Source organism: Homo sapiens, chromosome 17 (genome assembly GCF_000001405.40).
Source record: "Homo sapiens chromosome 17, GRCh38.p14 Primary Assembly".
NCBI lineage: Eukaryota > Metazoa > Chordata > Mammalia > Primates > Hominidae > Homo > Homo sapiens.
This window is the reverse complement of record NC_000017.11, coordinates 55,287,267-55,307,308: the sequence shown is the minus strand read 5'-3', so window position 1 is coordinate 55,307,308 and position 20,042 is coordinate 55,287,267. Positions and strand designations below refer to the sequence as shown.

Here is a 20,042-nt window from a genome sequence, read left to right as displayed (position 1 = left end):
GGTGGCGCACGCTTGTAATTCCAGCTACTTGGGAGGCTGAGGCAGGAGAATCACCTGAACCTGTGAGGTGGAGGCTACAGTGAGCCAAGATTGCGCCACTGCACTCCAGCCTGGGTGACAGAACCAGACTCCGTCTCAAAAAAAAAAAAAAAAAAAAAAAAGGCCGCTGAGAGGAGACCATTCAACCCCCTTGAAAGGAAGAAGAAACCAAAGAGAGGGAGGAAATGGGATGAGGAAAAAAAAAAAGAGGAGGTAAAAGCATGTTGCTCTGCTGCTGGCTGTTTTACCAAATCAAGGAATACATTATAGCTGATAAACCAACCTAGCTGAGATCTACAGGGTTCCCATCCAAAAGGCCACAGCAGCAGATGCCCTTCAATGCATCTATGCCCTGAGGTCAGAAGTGTATTGGGCAGCAGGGAGGAAAGGAAGAGAAAGAAAGAGGAATTAAGAAACCAAGAAGAAATACAAGAATGAATCAAAGAAGAAATAAAGAAAGAATAAAGAAAGGTATTATGGAAGGAAAGAAAGGCATCAAAAGGGAGGGGGAGAAAGAAAGAAGAAGAAAAAAGAGATAGAAAGTCTTAGCCAAAGATGAAATTGGAAGGTGTCCTGGATCCCAGTAGCTGGGAACCTGTCATAGCTCTGACATATTTTAAATGTCCTGCACATTACACGGTTGATGTACTAATTTTAAGGCAAAAACAAATCATGCATACACATACACATGCATACACACACACACACACACACACACACACACACACACACTTCCTTTTTGCCTCATTCAGATGGCAAGTGCTCAGTAAGTTTTCAGTCCATGATTACAGAACAAATATACTGAAAGGCCCATTGTAAAGATCCCTTTGATCTCAGTGGCTCTTATCCAGCAATTCTCTCCACACAGTAACAGGCTGTCAACAGAAATATGGGTAAAGCATGATGCTAAGCCAGTTCAATCCATTACGTGTAAACATTAGGAAAAGAGTCTGTTGCCATTTACTGAGAAGGTGAATGCAATGACGTCCTGTAGGCTGGTAGACGGGCTTCCCTGGCCTACTGAATAATCAATATCAGCAATTTTTTTTTTAAACAGGATCTTGCTCTGTCTCCAGGCTGCAGTGTAGTGGCGTGATCATAGTTCACTGAAACCTTGAACTCCTGGGCTCAAACAATGCTCCCACCTTGGCCTCCCAAAATGCTGGGATTACAAACATGAGCCACCTCTCTGGTAATATCAGTAATACTGATAGTAAGGTTCTTCAGAGATTACTTCATTTAATTGTCACAATAGCTATATGAAGGCAGAATAGTTCATATACCCATTTTCCATATGTGGAAATAAAGGAATAGAAAACAGAAAGCTTAAGACAAGCTCAGATATGCTAAATAATTTGCCCACGCAGATGGAAAAACAGAGACTCATCTCCCCATCCTTCTCACTCTAAAGCCCATGTTCTTTTTCATGCGAATGCCCCAGGAATGCAGCCAGGAAGCCTAATTGTGCCCCAAGGAGAGCCAGGCACCCAGCCTTCCAGAATGAGAGTCCTGCATCAGGACCTGGGCTGGAGCCTTGTGCACAACACTCCACAGAACCATCAGCCTCTGCGAGGCGGGCACTGTATCCCACATTTTAAAGAGGAAAAAGTGGAGAGGGAGAGGGGGTGAAACCACCTGCTTAAAGTCATACAGCTAGAAAGCCAGGGGGAGGCTGGGTGGAGTGCAGACTCCAGTGGGCTCAACCATAGCCCACGCTCTTTCTGCTCCACTTCACTTCCTCCTCATGGGGGCAGAAGAGAAAGGAAGGGGAGACTCTGCAGTTCCCCTCCACTCTAGCCCAATAGGTTCCTGGACAAGAGTTGGCAAACCCCAGAGAGGTAGGTATGGCTTCCTCTCATGGACAAGAGCCCAAGGAAGCTCCAGGCAGCCAGGCATCCTGCTTCCTTTCCCTCCCTTCTTTTACCTCCCTCTCTCTCGTCCACTTCCTCCATCCTCCTGAATGGCGAGCTGTGCCAAGGGCAAGATTGCATTTGACAAAGCAACTGTTGACCCACAGGCCAGGGCTCCTGTCAATGCTACATCTCATGCACTAGTATTTTTAAGGAGCTTCTGGATAGGCCAGAGACCACGGCTCACTAGGAGAAGGGTAAGGATTCCCGGCAGACAGGGTGTCTGATGTATTCCGTCACATGAAGAAGAAGTTGGCTTCAAAGGTCACTTCTTGGGGGAGGTCTGTATTATATCTATGCCCTTAAACTATTAGTATGCAAATTAACGTTTGGTTTGGGCAGACAGACATTTTGAACCCTGTTTCAATGCTCCCACTCTGGCCTGAGCCCCTTTCCTTGGGCCTGTCCTGCACGAGGTAGCTCAGTTCATCAGAAGGTGTAGACAAACAGGATTCATCATGACTCTGACACTACGTAGTTGTGTGTGGCCTGGGGCCAGTTACTCTGCCTCATGGTCTGATTCCCTTATCTGTCAAGTGGGAGAAATGACGCCCACCTCAGGGCGCTGAATGGGATGGACAGTATGTGGGAAGGCCCCTTGGTAGGTGGAGAGTCCACACTTCCCTCCTGTCACACTCCCCAGCTCCCATTTCCCTCTAGCTACAGCCCAAGCAAAGCCTGTTAGATGTCACCCAGTGTGACCCTGTGCCCAGAACAGCACATCGCCCTGGGATCATGCATCAGTACTCAAAGTGGCCCAGACTAGACTCCTCAGCTTCTAACTTGGCAGGAGCTTGGGCTGGATTAACAAGGCCTCTCATTCCAGTGGTGTTTACCATCATGCTTCCTTGCCTATGGTGTCAGCAAAATCTGCCCCCTTGAACCCACTGAAAGGTGAGACCAGCGGAACTCATAACCACAGCCGGTTAGAAGTCAGTTAAGTTGGGGTACAACAGACATGACAACTAATGGCCGAGGCACGTGGCCCATGAGCCTTCTCGCCATTGCCCCCTGTGATGGTTATGACAGTGCACCTTCCACCTCCTCCTCCCTGGGCCGGGAGCCTCTCCCCAGACATGTGGGGTCACCGTGTGGCAGAAGGTGAGGCAAGAATGGCTCTGTGCCTTCTACCTTGGCCTCCTCCTACCCGATAGCTGTGCCAGTACCTTAGGGCAAGGAAATATCATAGGGTGACCAGAAATGAACCCAGAGTACCAGAGACAAACACCCACATGAGGTATATTTCAGGTCTGGCAACACTGGGCCCACTGAAGTGGGTAGGGATGGTCACGAATGGGAAACAAGAGGCAATGGCTTCCCCTTTCCCACACTCATATTGAAACCATGCCCCAAAGACTTAAACCAGTGACTAACAGAAATTCTTGAGCTTACAGGATGGCAGATAAGAAAAAAAAAATTAAATAAAAGCTTGTGGAAACACTAAAACTCCCTCTACTGGAAAGATAAGGCTGGCTAAAATTGTTTGGGACCAATATGGCCAACTGGAGTCTGTGCAGAACGAGCTTACTGACGTCACAGCCAGAACTTCCGCCACACGTTTCACATTCACCCCCCTCGCTGAATTTGCACAAACCATCCATGAGGATGCAGAGAGAGATAACCGTGCATGCCCAAGGACTTTCCAGACCTCACCCTTCCTGCCACCAATCACCTGCTAATCCCAAAATCCACCCCTTAAACCTTTTCTAATACAAATGCTGCCTGAAAGCCAGCAAGCACAGGGAGACAGATTTGAGCTGGATCCTGTCTCCTTGTTGGCTGACATGAAATAAAAGCTTTTCTTTTCTTAAAGACCCAGTGCCATAATACTGGCTTCTAGTGCACTGGACAATGAGCCCTATCACCTGGTAACAATGCCATGCTTCTCACTCCATCCCAAAGTTACAGAACTATGGTGGGAGAAGGGTAGCTTTCTAGTTTCCTCTGTACTTGCAGGGAATGGATGGTAGGTTAAGACCTGGAAAACGGGAGGTTAGGTCAGCTGGTCAACTGCTGGCCAGCTCAAAGTCTGCAGTGTTTTGTGCAACAGTTATCCCTTCTTGAGAGAGTAGCAGCCAGTCCCTCCTCCCAGGGCTGCCATGGTGATGGTGGGTGTGATGACCATTTCAAGCCACACTGCAACTCTACACACTAGAGGACAGGCAACAAGAGACAGCTGGAGGAGCCTCCAGTCCAATGCTCACCTCAGCCCCTTCTCATATCCCTGCTATGGTGTGCAGAGCGGTGATGGTGGTCAAGGCTGCCAGCTTTCCCCAGAGGAGTCTGAGGGGAGGGGACTTCTGCTTTTGTCAACATTCTGCATCTGGCGGACCTAGTCCAATGACATGCTGCCTATCTATAGCCTCATTCTGCCCTCCTAACAACTCTGCGAAGTAGGTAGGGCCAAATGGGCCCATTTTAACTATGTAGATGTTGAGCCACTAAGCAATTTACCTCGGTCCCCCTAGGATGGGCTACCTTCTCCAGCAGAGAAACAAGTTCTCCCATACCTGGAGTCTATTTTCAGAAATAGACTTTCCATTTTAAATGACAATATGCGCCACTTGAATCAGCACCACCTAGGTCCCTGGAGTCTTTTTAATTGTCTGAGTTGGTGAAAATGTGCAGGCCTAGTTATTTGAAACCTGCAGTTTTCAAAGAGCTGCCATGGCTAGTTATTAAACTGACTATTCTCCTTTGGGCTACATTAAATATTTTGTTTTTAGAAAAGAGAGTGAAGCAGGAGACGAAATCAGCGACAATATTCGCTGATGTTCACTAAGAACCCCTGTGAACTGCAAACAAATGACCCATATGCTCCCCCGGTGACACCCTTCCCTCCCCTCCAACCCCCTAAAACCAAACGAAACAAAACAAAGGAAGAATAACAAGGTTGTTTTAAAGTCTGCGTTTCTGGATGAACATGAATAGGATTCAGGTGTATCTGCTGTTCTGCAGCTTCTCAAAGAGATCCACAGATTCTTTCCCGCATGAGTCTCTAAGTTAAGCACTCAAAGGCAAACATGCCTTTCCAAAGCCTTCTTGCCTTGGCTCCTAGCCAGTGTTCTCTGTAATCTCTTCCACTAACGTTCACAGAGTCCTAAACTGATCTGTGGACTGCTGGTCATTGCCTCCAATCCCTCTGTCATTTCTAAATCAACATGTTTAAGCCAAACTCATCCTCCAATCTCCTATAGACCATCAGCCTCTCCTGCAGGTCACCTCATGCCTGTGAACTATTTCCCCCATTCTTCCAGGCTTTAAACTTTAACCACCCACTTCCCAGGCAGGTTGGGAAAATGAGACAAGGATTGGAATCCAAAGACCCCATCAGTTATGGGAACCTTGAGATTAGTCCTCAGTTTGCCCACCACTGTTAAATAATAGGATGAGATGTTTGGGATGATAGCAAAGGCTCCTTCCAGATCTAGCAATAAATTATTCTTGGAGTGCAGTGGAGGCTTTCCTTTGTGTTTCAGATCCCTGTCACAAGACAGGTGCAGTCATGAGGAACTTGGACAACTGCAAGATCTTCCTAACTGGTCTCTGCCACCTGCAATCCCATCTGCCAACACAGCCACCAGATTACTCTTCCTAGAGTATCGCCACCATGATCAAAGGAAGCCAATGGCTTCCCATTGCCTCCTGGTCTGAAATCTTTGTCTACTGGGGAGAGACCTCCACAGGGAGGCATATTGTTCCTATCTCATGCTCTCTGCTTAAGCCAATGGTCTGCTTTGTTTCTAGACAATCTTGCTTTGCGTCTTCGCCACTTCTATTTGTCCTAACATCCATATCAAGGTCTAATTCAAGCCCTCCGACTCCTGACTATACCAATGTTGGCGACAATTCCTCCTAACTTCTCTCACAATGTCTATACTGATAATTTTTTTATCAGATTAAGTAACTCTATAATTTTTAATCAACGAGATTGCAAATCTTTCCAGGCAAAGGCCATGCCACTGCCTTACACAGAAAATGATAAACTATGTCTTTGTTGATTAAGACATTCATTTGCTTAAACACTTTTATTGAGCCCCTACTATGAGCCAGGCTCTGAGAATATATAAATAAAACCCAAACTTTAAAAGCATGCAGTCTGGAGGTGCAGACAGGTAAGTAAAAAGGTTATTAGATTGCAGAATAATATGTGCTATAAAAGGGCTTTGCCCAGGGAGTCACAGGTTGGAGTTGAAAGGTTGATCACAAATCCCTATCTTTGGAGGGAGTGCAGGGACAACAGGAAATGTCCCTCAGAGGGAGTTGCCATCCTGGCCAAGTCTTGAAATTGGCCAGAAAAGTAAATGGGATAAAGGGTAACCAAGGCAGAGGGAACAAAATATGTGAAGGCATGAAGATATGAGAGAATTCATGGGCCAGTCGGGGAACTGAGAGTAGCTGGTGTAACTGGAGCTCACGGCGGGTAAGAAGAGTGGTAAGCATTGAGACAGACACAGAAGGGTCTTAGATGTTCAGGTTCTATCCTCAAGAGAACGGGGAACTATCGATGCAATTAGAGCAAAGGACTCACTTGATCAGATGACTCGTTTCAGAAAGATTGTTGTGGCAACCAGGCAGAGCTTGGCTTACAGGGGAACCAGGAATGGTAAGAGCTCACCTACATCAACAGCAGAGGACTAGGTGGATTCAAGAGTTATTAATGAGATGGGGGCAACATGAATTGTTGCCAACTGAACATGGGGAAAGAGGAGGAGAGAGCAAGATTCACTTTTAGGTTTCTGGCCTGGACACCTGCAAAGGAGGTGTTGACATTCACTGAAATAGGGAATATTGTGGAGTGAGCACATTTAAGGGAAAATAAAATGTCTCATTGTGGATCCATTGAGTTTCAGATGCCCAGATGAAGAAGCCTAGAGCATGTGGATCTCAGCTTCATATACCAATGTAGGCTATAGAAGGGCAATGTAAACTGGAGATGCAGATGTTATAATCTGATTATCTCCCCAGGAGAGCACACAGAACAAGAAAACCAAAGAAAAAGTCCTGGGGAACACTGACAGTTTAGGCACAGCTGAAGAGGAGGACTCTGTAAAAGGTACTTAGGAAAAGCCAGAAAGGTAGGAGGTAAACCAGTTCTTGAACAGGCTAGTGAAACGGGACTGACCAAAGAGATGTTTCCCTGGTTACACTGTTGATCCCTCAAGAGCGGTCACTGTGCCTCCTAATCAAGTGGCTGCATTACTATATCTGTTAAACAAATGAGGAAGGCCAAGCACTCACACCTGTAGTTCCAGCACTTTGGGAGGCTGAGGAGGGAGGATAACCTGAGGCTTGGACTTCAAGACCAGTCTGGGCAATGTAGCAAGATCTTATCTCTAAAACATATTTTTCAAAAATTAGCTGGGCCTGGTGGTGGCATGTGTCCGTAGTCCTAGCTACTTGGGAGACTGAGGTGGGAGGATCGCTTGAGCCCAGGAGTTCAAGGCTGCAGTCAGCTAGATGGTGGCACTGCACTCCAGCCTAGGCAACAGGACAAGACCCTGTCTCTTAACAAAGAAGAAGGAAAAAAAGCAAATGAGGAACAATATGACTGGGAGTTCAAAACCAGCCTGGGCAACGTAGCAAGAACTCATCTCTAAAAAATATTTTTCAAAAAATTAGCGAGGCATGGTGGCACGTGCTTGTAGTCCTAGCTACTTGGGAGGCTAAGGTGGGAAGATCGCTTGAGACCAGGAGTTGAAGGCTGCAGTGCGCTAGACGTGTGGCAGGCATGCTGAGGTGATGACATGCTTCTTGGATGTTAGGTGCCTGCTTTGTGTTCTCCTTGGGAACATTTTGTTAGAAGTGTTCATAAGAGCATCTTGGTATGTTGAGAACCAAGGCTAACATAGGTGCTTCCTTTTGCTGTCTATTGCATCTAGTGTCTGAAGTTCCTGCATCATCTTTCATTATTTTTAAATTTCATGTCTGGAGAGTGTATGTTTTGTGGGGCATAGGTTACGGAAGTAGGCAGGATAGGTGAAAATGCCCGTAGAGATAGCCTCAACAGCCTACGATCGGCACCACAGGCTGTCTCCCTATTAGTTAATGATCATTCTGAAAGGTTACTAAGTAAGTGTTGCTAAGCAATAAGTGTTGCCTGGAAGTGTATGCTAAAGAATATGGATTACTGGGGACAAATCAAGTTAATTCCACAGAGTCATCTGGTACCTAAACAAAATGGACTTTATGCCTCTGGCATCTCATTTGGGGTACGGTGAGCAATCTCCTAATACTGCCAGCCTTTGCAGTTCTTGCTGGGCACTTCAGTGTCTGCTTCATGTAAGTATTCACTGCACAAGTCCTGTTATTGACCAACTGATATATACCTTTGTGATGAGGTATCATGGGAAGAACTAGATTATAAGGAAGTGACAGTTTGGTCTTCAGTCATGCAGGCAGAGGGAAAGGAAAGACCACAGAGCAGCCTATATAGTTTATAGCTATCTATAATCTGAATTAACATTCATTGAGCATGCATCTGATTTTTACATTCAGATGCAAGCCAAGACTTGGGAAAAGGCATACACTCAAGTTTTCTCATATAAATTCAAGTCCTACATAGGAGAAAAATGGCCAAACAGCCACTGATTTACACACGTAATAAAAATGGGGTTTATTAAACCTACTTCTTTCCACCTCCATGTTGGTAGGGAGAAGTAGGTAAATTTTCACACATATTTATAGGCCTGCAGTAATTCAGCCTTGCTTTACAGTCATACAGATCCCTAACATACACTAGAATAACATTCTAGACCAGACAATTTCTTAGAAATATGTTGTTTCAGAAAAACTGAAATTTTCCAGCTTGCACTAAGATTAGCCAAGCTAAACCCATCTGTCTCCTGCTTAATGTAGTCTATGGAGAAACCTTCATGGGACAAAAATCTGCCTTTATATTTCACAGGCATAAGGTAAGGTTTGTGTGCCTCGTGGGTAAACAGACCATATATATGAAGTCATCATCAAAAGATCAGATTCTGAGTTCCATGCGTCTTCTTTCAGCTTCTCAAGCCCATGCCCACCAGGACCTATATAAGAAGGAAATGCCACCGTGGTCTGCAACCTTTGGGTAGACCAAGAATATTCCAACATCTCTGAAGTCCTTTGTCATTTGAGTACATTGACAAAATCCTGTCCCAATCAGTGTGTAGTTCCCCACATAAATCCCCTGAACAGGGGATCTAATCTGACCTAATCATGGGAGTCAGTTGGTTGATAAGGAGACCAACTGTGAAGATATGCCAGGCAAATGCTGGGTGGGAGTAGACAGGACTCAGTTTCTTCAAACAGGAAAAGAAAGAAATGCTGGCTGGGCGCGGTGGCTCATACCTGTAATCCCAGCACTCTGGGAGGCCGAGGCAGGCACATAACCTGAGGTCAGGAGTTCGAGACCAGCCCAACCAACATGGCGAAACTCCGTCTCTACTAAAAATACAAAGATTAGCTGGGCATGGTGGTGGGCACCTGTAATCTTAACTACTTGGGAGGTTGAGACAGGAGAACTGCTTGAACCCGGGAGGCAGAGGTTGCAGTGAGCTGAGGTCGCGCCATTGCACTCCAGCTTGGTTGGGTGACAGAGCGAGACTCCATCTCAAAAAAAAAAAAAAAAAAAAAAAAAGAAATGCTGTTAGATGAAGACACGTGGTCCTCAGGTTGGTGGGAGTGTAAGGGGTGAGGGTAGGTGACTCTCACCCCTTACAGCTGCTCAGGGGACAGAGGAACACAGCAGAGGGTGACAAGTCATGGCCTCAAAGGAAAGGATGAAAGAAATGAGGGCTGGGAAATTTTTTTCAGGCAGGCAGTAAAGAAGAGCAATAACCACCCTAATTTCCTAAGATGGATAATTCTTAGAACAGGTTTTCTGAAGAAGAGATGTCCATTTTCTTTCAATCTATTGAGGCTACCTAAGCAAGGGAAAAGAGACACTTCCAGTTCCCAAAGCTATGTGCCAACCTGGGAACATTTCAAACTGAAATAAGAGAAAGACTTTCAATAACTACAAACTCTACCTACTGCTAATGAAATCTGAGGCCACACCAAAAGGAATTAGATAATTCTTCCTTGAAAGCCTATAAGAAGAAAAAATGGTTTATGAACAAATAACTACAGAATAACAAGAAAAGTATCAAACAGAACCTAGATGGTACCTTGTTGCTTTAATCATACATTATCTTAATAAAGATGGATTAATGTTTACATTTGTCTAAATAAAGACCTCCAGTTTAACAGAAATTTCAGAAGAAATGGGTCATTCAATTTCTCCCAATTAACCACATTAAAGGAGATCTTGCAATTTGGATCTGAAAGGACATGACCCAGGCATCATCAGTGGGAGCTGCGTCTCCTAATTTTACACCCTCTATCTAAGGCCATAGATAAGAACATATGTAAGTTCTCAACCCTGGTTACAGATCAGCCTCACCTGTGGAGCTCTGTAAAAGTACAGATACTTAGCTCCCCTCCAACCTCACCCAGAAGATCTGAAAATGGGGCCTGGGCTCTGTAAAAAAAAAAAAAAATTTTTTTGAATGGAAGAGGAAACAGCTTTCTCACACACTTTTAGTGGGAGTGTGAACTAGTTCAATTCTTTTGGAGCCTACACACTTTGATCCAGCAATTCCACATCTAGGAATGAAAACTTTAGATATACCACACAAGTGTACAAAGAATGGAATCCAACGATGAAAACAATCTAAATCCCTAGAGGCATTGTTAAGTAAATTATAGCATATCCAGATCATAGGTTCTATGCAGCCGGCAGATCTATATGTATTAATATGGAAAAATCTCCAAAAAATATTGAATGAAAAAGGCAAGATGCATAACACTATGTATTGTATGCATATACATATATTTCCATATTTCCATACACACAATATATACACACCCACCCCCATATATATGTATATAAATGCTTATAAACACAAAGGGAACGTCTGGAAGAGTACGCAGAAACTGTGGACAGTTAAATCTGGAAATGGAATATGGGAACTCAAGTTACTCTTTATACAGTCCTATTTTACAACAATCGTATATTAATTTTGTAATAAAATGTTTAAATTTCTTTTAAAAAAATCACTGGTAATTCTCATGTGAGGCCAAGATTGAGAACGACTGGTCCAGAGGAAACAGCCCCTGTGGATGTAAGGAGCTTGCAAACCCTACCTTGTAAGGAAACCAACCACCCACACCTCAGGAATATTCACACCATGTCATACCCATGACTCCCCAGAAGGTGGTGCTCCGGAGGCAATCACTCAGGCCTCCAACCAAAACCTGTCCAACCAATTTTGCATTAACCTGTCTTTTTGCTACTCTAAGGACTATTTATGCCCCAAAGCATTCTACACTACTGCTTCTATCAAGGGCATTTTAGACACACAGATGCCATATGCATTTTTTCCCCATAAAAATCTACCAGTTAGTCAATACATTCTAATATAACCCTGGGAAATGTTGACCTGAAAGGAGTTAACACTGCTTGCTCTGGCCTCCCCCTCCTCCTCCACGCTATTTCCCTGTTGTCTTTTCTCTGATTTACTCATCTTCTTATCTTATTCCAGGGTCAGTTCTACAAAGGCAGGCAGCCATCAGCCATGTGAGGCATTTGTCCTTTTGAATTTGTTCATACCTTTGGCATAGAACAGGTGGTACGGGACATAGGGCAGCCCAGGGCAAGTACCACGAGTTTGCCTGCCCTCCCACTAACACTAATGTTCTGGAAGTGGGTGTGTTGCCACAGCAACTGTCAAATCCCATCCATTACACCGCCTCTAACCTTCCAACATCTTCTTTAAACACCACGTTTGAGACGTGTGGTTCTGTTGCCCTGGCAGTGCAGAGCCGCAGGTCCCTTGCCAGGCGGCAAAGTTCTCCTTATCTGGGCAGGAGGGAGTTAGCCCCTCTGAATATTAGCCATCATAAATAAACGTTTTAAATTTTCTGTTTTTTTCCCCTCTCATTATATTTCAGACCAATGTCCCATAACATTCTGACCTGATCATTTCCTGTGAATTACTGGTGCATATTTAATGAAAATTCATTCTTAGTATCAGCCAAGAAAAACTCAACAAGTCACTTATATTGTATCCTTTCTTTCCATGAATATAATTTTTGCTCATTCTTCAAGACACAACTCAAGGATCATCTCCCATCTTCCCTCCTCACTCTATTCAGAGCTGGCCATTCTTGCTTTCCTGATTCTACCTCATATACAACCTGATGCTATCTACCACACTCCATTCACAATTAATTATATCTCTTCGCCATTCATAAGCTTCTCAAGTTTAAAGGATGACATCTTCCTTATCTCTGAATTACCAGCACCTTGCTAGGCCCTCAGTAAATGATTAAAAATACCCATACTAATGATGAATAAATGCACTCCAAAACAAACATCCATGAGCTTGTGGTTCTCTATAAATTTTTATTATGTTATTAAATCACCGATATAACAGATGACAGCTGTGTATCCGACTTGACAGCAAGACCTAAAAAACCTACATACAAATGCTTTTTAAAAGGGAGGATATAGAAAGGTCCATTTCCTGAGACTTTAGAGCCATCCTCTTTCTTGTTCTTGTTTTTCAGATCCAGGAAGTGCATGGAAAGGGAGCCTTCTCCATATGGAGAGAAGCAGTGAAGTCCTGAAGAAGGAAGCCGTAACATTCCTTGAGTACTCACAAGGCGGCCTGACATCTGGTCCACACTTGGGGAAAAGAGGCCACATCCCCACATGGAGATCTATTTTTGCATTCTGAGCTGCGGATGCTTTGCTCGTACAACTTGCCTTACACACAGAAAGGGGAAGGAAACTAATATTTACCAAGTGCTAGCTACATGCCCTGTGCTGCTTTCACGTGCGTATCTCTCCCACTACGCTGTGTATCTGCAGACAGCTCACCAGGTATGTCTCTGAAAAGCACATGGAGGTGAACACTGAATGCCTCCAACTTCCTCCACTCACCTGGCTGAGGGCCACACGCACAGCTGATGCCCAACACATCCATATATTCATGTATGCTTCTTTACAAGGACTTCTCACCATGGTCGAAGGAGAAAATCTATTCGTGAAAGACACATTCTCTTGACCATATGCGTCTCCCTGTTGCACTGGGGCAGATCAGCATAGTGTGGGCACAAGGAGAATGAAGCTTTGACTGATATGGACTGTGCCGTGGGTTTAGCACCAGCACCCTCAGGGACACAGCCACACTGTTTCCAATCCTCCTCTACTAGGCTGTCTCTAAATCTTCCTGGACTGATGTGTTTATCACTTCATGGTGCTTCTCTTTTAAGACCGTTATCAGAAGGAACTGTGGCTTAGAAAGTCATCCCTCATGACTTAAAAGTAAAACCTGTGTTAAAAACTACCCTCTCTGTGTCCTTTAAAATTAAATTCCCTAGGAATTGGCTGAGGAGACCTTAGGGCCTCCCCAGAGGTGCATATGTTGCTCCTTTCCTCCTCACTCCCTCCACATCTAGGTCCCTGGTACATATCTGTCACCGTGTTGTACCATCCACACAGGTGTTCTGATGATTTTAGACATTCTACTACCTTCCACAAGGCAAAGCCTTCTACTGAGAAGCAGCCCATTGAGTTGGGGCTCCATGAATGGGCTTTGGTGCCAGACTGTGGCTTCATGTTCCAGCCCTGCCACCTATTAATCGCCCCCAGCACCATTTTGCTCACTTTCTCTGGGCCTCAGTTTTCTCATCTGTAAAACGACAATAATAATAGTATACCTACCAAGTACTAACAGTCGTTCCCAGAGATTGAGTTTTAATGATATAACACATATAAACCTCAGTCCAGTGCCCAGACTATAAGAAGCACTAAAGAAGGGTTAGCTATTATGACAACATTCCTTTTCTACCCATCCGTTTGATAGGAGCTCTGTAGTCAGAGAAAACTTGGTGCTTAGCTGACTGCCCGGTTCTCAGGACTTCACCAGCCAGCAGATAAAGGGGGAAGCTCTGCCTTCTCTCCTCAGAGCACAGTGGCGATCGGCCGTTGCCCAGTCCAGCTGCCACATGTAATGGTCGTTCCACCGGCATCCCCTATAACTCCTCAGGCACATATAGCACCTCAAATCTTAATTAAAAAAATGTATATATTAATATAGTACATGGGATATTTTGATACATGCATATAATGTGTAATGATCAAATCAGAGTAACTGGGATCATTGATCATTTCTTTGTGAAGGGACCATTTCAAATCTTCTATGTATTCTGAAATATACAATAAATCCTTGTTAACTATAGTCACCCTACTGTAGCTATTGAACACTTGAACTTATTTCGTCTGTGTTTTTGTACCTCTTAACTAACCTCTCTAAATCCCACATCCCAGCCCCCGCTAACCTTCCCAGCCTCTGGTAACCATCATTCTACTGTCTACCTCCATGAGATCAACCTTTTTAGCTCCCAATTTGAATAAGAACATACAATATTTGTCTTCCTGTGAATGGCTTATTTCACTTAACATAAATGACCTCCAATTCCATCTATGTTGCTGCAAGTGATAGAATTTCATTCTTTTTTATGGTGGAATAGTATTCCATTGTGTATGTATGCCATATTTTCTTTGTCCATTCACCCACTGATGGACACTTAGGTTGATTCCATTCCTTGGCTACTGTGAATAGTGCTGCAATAAACATGGAATGCCGGTATCTCTTTGAAAGACTGATTTCTATTCCTTTGGATATAAAGGCATACCTCACAGATATTGCAGGACCGGTTCTAGACCACTGCAATAAAGCTAAGAATCCAATAAAGCAAGTCACATCATTTTTTTTTTGGTTTCCCAGTGCATATAAAATTTATGTTTATGCTATACTGTAATCTATTAAGTGTGTAATACCATTATGACTAAAAACAATGTACATGCCTTAAGAATACTATATTGCTAAACAATGGTAAAGATCACCTGAGCCTTTAGTGGGCCATTTTTACTTATGATGGGTCTTGCCTTAATGTTGGTGGCTACTAATCGATCAGGGTGGTGTTTGCTGAAGGTTGGGGTGGTTGTGGCAGTTTCTTAAAATAACACGACAATGAAGTTTGCTGCATCAATTGACTCTTCCTTTCAGGAAACATTTTTCTGTAGCACGCGGTGTTATTTGATAGCATTTTACTCACAGTAGAACCTCTTTCAAAATTGGAGTCGATCCTCTCAAACCCTGCCACTGCTATACCAACTAAGTTTATGTAATATTCTAAATCCTTTGCTGGCATTTCAACAATGTTCACAGCATCATCACTAGGAGTAGATTCCATCTCAGGAAAGCACTTCCTTTGTTCATCTGCAAGAAACAATTCCTCATCCATTCAAGTTTTATCATGAGATTGCAGCAATTCAGTCACATCTTCAAGTTCTACTTCTAATTCTAGATCTCTTGCTATTTCCGCCACATCTAAAGTTATTTCCTCCACTGAAACCTTGAAGTCCTCAAAGTCATCCACTATAAGGGTTGCAATCAACTCCTACTAACTTCAGTTTATGTTGGAGTTAATTAATGTCCCTTCCCATGAATCATGAATGTTTTTAACGGCTTCTAGAGTGGTGAATCCTTTCAGAAGGCTTTTGATTTACTTTGCCTAGATCTATCAAAGGAATCACTATCAATGGCAGCTATTGTCTTAAAAAGTAAATTTCTTAAGTAATGAGATTTGACAGTCAAAATTATTCCTTGATCCATAGGCTGAAGAATAAATGTGTTAGCAGGCATGAAAATAACATTAATCTTCTTGTACATCTCCATCAGAGTTTTTGGATAACAGGTACACTGCCAATAAGCAGTAATATTTTGAAAGGATTTTTTTTCCTGAGCAGTAGGTCTTAACAGTGGGCTCAAAATATTCAGCAAACCATGCTGTAAACAGATGTGCTGTTATCCAGGCTTTGCTGTTCCATTTACAGAGCACAGGAAGAGTAGATTTAGTATAATTCTCAAAGACCCTAGGATTTTTGGAACAGTGAATGAGCACTGGCTTCAACTTAAAGTCACCCACTACATTGCCCACTAACAAAAGTCAGCCTGTCCTTCGATGCCAGGCATGGATTTATCTCCAGCTATAACTTTTACATGGTGTCTTCTTCCAATATAAGGCTGTGTAGTCTATATTGAAACTCTGTTGTTTAGTATAGCCACCTTCATCAATGATCTTAGCTAGATCTTTTGGAAAATTTGCTGCAGTGTCTACATCATTTCTTGGTGCTTCACCTTGCACCTTTTTGTTATAGAGATGGCTTCTTTCCTTAAACCTCATGAACCAACCTCTGCTAGCTCAAACCTTTCTTCTGTAGCTTCCTTACCTCTCTCAGCCTTCACAGAATTGAAGAGAGTTAGGCCCTGGCTCTGGATTAGGCTTTGGCTTAAGGGAATGTTGTGGATGGTTTAATCTTCTATCCAGGACACTCAAACTTTCTTCATATCAGCAATACGGCTGTTTCACTTTCTAATCATTTGTGTGTTCACTGGAGTAGTGCTTTGAATTTCCTTCAAGAACTTTTCCTTTGCATTCACAATGCAGCTAACTGTTTGGCTCAAGAAGCCTAGCTTTTGGCCTGTCTTGGCTTTCGACCTACCTTCAAAATTAAGCTTACTCATTTCTAGCTTTTGACTTAAAGTGAGAGACCTGCGACTCTTCTGTTCACTTGAGTGCTTAGAGGCCATTATAGGGTTATTAATTGGCCTACTTTCAATATTGTTGTGTCTCAGGGAACAGGAATCCCAAGGAGAGGGAGAGAAATGGGAGAACGGCCAGTTGGTGAAGCAGTCAGAAGAACATACGTAACATTTATGAAGTTCACCATCTTATATGGGTGTGGCTCATGGTGCCCCCAAACAATAACAATAGTAACATCAAAGATCACTGATCATAGATCAACATAGCACATATAATAATAATGAAAAACTTGAAATATTGCTAGAACCACCACAATATGACAGAGACACCAAGTGAACACATACTGTTGGAAAAATAGTGCCAAAAGGCTTGTGCAATGCAGGGTTACCACAAACCTTCAATTTTTAATAAACACACTATCGGCAAAGTGTAATATGGTGAAGTCCGATAAAACGAAGTACAGCTGTACACCCAGCAGTGGCACTGCTGGGTCATATGGTAGATCTATTTCTAGTTTTCTGAGGAACCTCCACACTGTTTTCCATAGAGTACAGCACTTTAATTCTTGAGGCTGTACCAAGGCCTTCTGTTAATGTTGGTTGTGCTTATTTGTCTGGTTTTCATTTTCCAGCACTGAGGAAGAAAGATCATTCTGAGGCAGGTTCTCCTTGGGTTGTCAAGAGAGACTCCTTTCACATTCCAAAGCGAAATATCTTGGAATTCTGTACCAGTGAGCCCCCTTCTCTCCAACAAAGAATAACCAAAGGGAACGCAGAATTCTAATGAATGAGGCTGGCCTTTTTTTTTCTAACTAGGCTGAAAACAGGCTTATTTATTAATACAATGAATGCAAAGTGCTAGGAAGGATTAAGAGCTGAGAAAACAGACTTGGAATTATCTCAATCAGGCCTTACGAACTAAATGCATTTCTTTTTATAAAAAGTTCCCTGAGACCCCCAAGTGAATCTGCAATGTCTAGATTCACATATGAATATATAGGTAAATTTATATATGAATATATGGCAACTGTACTGAATTGTTAATTCTGGGTGATAAGAATAAGGATGTTTGCCACATTTAAAAAAATTGTTCTGTATTTTAAGTCATTCTCAAAGTAATTTTTCAAATGCCTTGTCATAGGAATAATTTTATGCACTATTTTATGCAGAGAACTCTGCTATCTCACCTTGGCAAGAGGGGTGTTATTTTCCCCAGCATATTAGTAAACTGAGGCACACTAAACTGAATAGGAGAAGCAAATGTGAGGAGGCTCAAGCAACTCTGGATATTGCCAGAGGCTCACACTATATTTCCTGCTGTGGGCACATAGGGCCTGGGGTACATAGAATGAATTCTGTGCAGCGATATTGAGGGCACTGCAAATCCAGGGATCAATCTGCTCCAACTCTTGAGTCAGTGAACCAGAAGGGCAGCTTCCTGCCAGCTGTACATACCTCTGTGGTGGGGTCAACTGCTCATGGCCTGGTGCTTGGAAGCCTTTAGCAAGGCCAAGTCTGTTTTAGTGCCCCTTATCACTGGCTGGCATGGGGAGACATGCCATTCTGTAAACCAAATCCTGTGCTCAAAGAAGCTATACCCTGACATGCCACATGGAGAGAAGAGGCATTCTCCTGCATCTATTAACCAAAGAAACATAAGTTGATGTTTTTTTAAAAAAATTTATATCCATCTGCATCCTCCCTTCCCCACACCCAACATGGAGCTTCTCTACTTACCCAGTTAAAAATCCCAATTAAGAACCTGTGGGATGAGTTTTAAGAACTCTTACAGGTGATCTGGGAACATGCAGGCTGGAGCTGCTGACTTCCAATCATGTCTCTGTGATTAAAGGGTGGAAAATTGGGGGGTCAATATCCACTTTTATTTGTAAGCATCTAAATCCTCTTCTCTGAAAACACTCTTCATTCTTGAATATTTTTTTTAATTTAACTTTTTTTTTTTTTGAGACAGGGTGTGGTTCTGTTGCCCAGGCTGGAGTACAGTGGCGCAATCTCAGCTCACTGCAACCTCTGCCTCCTGGGCTCAAGCGATCCTCCCACTTCAGCCTCCCTAGTAGTTGGGACACCACACCACACCTGGCTAATTTTTTTCTGTTTTTGGTAGAGATGGGGTTTCATTACATTGCCCAGGCTGGTCTCAAACTCCTGAGCTCAAGTGATCCACCTGCCTTGGCCTCCCAAAGTGCCGGGATTATAGGCGTGAGCCATGGCATCCAGCCTTGAATGTTTACCAATCAGAAAACAGTGAAACTGGCCGGGCGTGGTGGCTCACACCTGCAATCCCAGCACTTTGGGAAGCCAAGGAGGGCGGATCACTTGAGGTCAGGAGTTAGAGACCACCCTGGCCACCATGGTGAAACTCCCTCTCTACTAAAAATACAAAAATTAGCTGGGCATGGTGGTGCATGCCTGTAATCCCAGCTACTCGGGAGGCTGAGGCAGGAGAATCACTTGGGCCCAGGAGGCAGAGGTTACCATGAGCTGAGATTGCGCCACTGCACTCCAGCCTGGGTGAAAGAGTAAGACTCCATCTCAAAAGAAAAAGAAAAAAGAAAAAAAGAAAATAGTGAAACAGTCACGAGAAAAACAGCTCACTGAAGTATTATGAGGAGCCTATCAGCAGGGGTATATCTGCACTTCGCCTCCTCCAAGACCATCCTGACTCACATCTGGCCCAAAGGCGTGCATCATACTATCATAACCCTTTGCAAAGACCAACCATGTTGGACAAAATTCTGCCAACACAAGCACTCATTTCAAACCATTTCTAATGAAATTAGTATCTTTGTTACTTCATTCACTCAACAAATGTTTCCTGTATATCAACTCTGGTACAAAGCAGCTGCCTAGGTGCTGGAGATAAAAGCCAGTCCCCACCTCTGGGAAACTTGCAAGTCAACAACAGGGAGTCCACAAGGACCTACCAAGGTATCCAGAGTACTTTGGGAGTTTGGAAGATGGACTTCAACAAACCTTCACCTGTTTTATGCAAAATGAGAAAATCTTGCAGGATTGAAGTATTTACACTGGTATGAGGATAGGCCAAACACAGGTGCAACAACTTAAACTACTGATTCTCAAAGTAGTCCAGACACAGTCCTTTCTGAATAATAACTGTCCTGCTGTTAGAATCCACCAAGGAAATGCACTGTGCATTGTTTCACTTAATTATAAAATGAAATTACATTCCCTGAACACTTCCCAAGTGCAGGCAGGGGGTAGATGCCTTATGGTGTTGTTATGCTGGGTGGCAACTGGCCAGGGCTTACACAGTGACCATGGCTAGTATACCAAAGAGATAATCTACACATGAGTAATGCAGAACTGACCCTTGATACTGGCTGTAGATGACTCTCAATCATCAACTATGAGAGTGTTCATCGATCAAACAAAGAAAATGTGGCTTTTAAAAAATACTGGTCTTATTTACAAG

The 20,042-nt window shown here is 43.5% G+C and overlaps 1 protein-coding gene across 5 annotated transcripts in view, besides 3 other annotated features; it reads right to left on the bottom strand.

The window, feature by feature from the left end:
* The window catches only part of HLF (HLF transcription factor, PAR bZIP family member), a 60,228-nt gene that overhangs the window by 17,879 nt on the left and 22,307 nt on the right, over positions 1-20,042 (bottom strand). Inside the window, exons 3-4 of one of the 5 annotated variants that reach the window (XR_002957996.2) lie at positions 18,326-18,428; positions 12,359-14,046 (exon numbers count right to left, since the gene is read on the bottom strand). The exons of the other annotated variants lie outside the window; for them this stretch is intronic. The gene's annotated coding sequence lies outside the window, so the exon portion shown is untranslated. Of the gene's footprint in view, positions 1-12,358; positions 14,047-18,325; positions 18,429-20,042 lie in introns of those variants that run through there. 5 annotated transcript variants of the gene reach the window in all.
* Positions 11,027-11,321: a silencer, noted in NCBI's record as "tiled region #1497; HepG2 Repressive DNase unmatched - State 5:Enh". NCBI's record gives its function as "represses a minimal TATA promoter and a strong SV40 promoter by Sharpr-MPRA in HepG2 cells {active_cell/tissue: HepG2}" and the evidence as "EXISTENCE:reporter gene assay evidence [ECO:0000049][PMID:27701403]".
* Positions 11,027-11,341: a biological region, named in NCBI's record as "Sharpr-MPRA regulatory regions 2486 and 1497".
* Positions 11,047-11,341: a silencer, noted in NCBI's record as "tiled region #2486; HepG2 Repressive DNase matched - State 5:Enh". NCBI's record gives its function as "represses a minimal TATA promoter and a strong SV40 promoter by Sharpr-MPRA in HepG2 cells {active_cell/tissue: HepG2}" and the evidence as "EXISTENCE:reporter gene assay evidence [ECO:0000049][PMID:27701403]".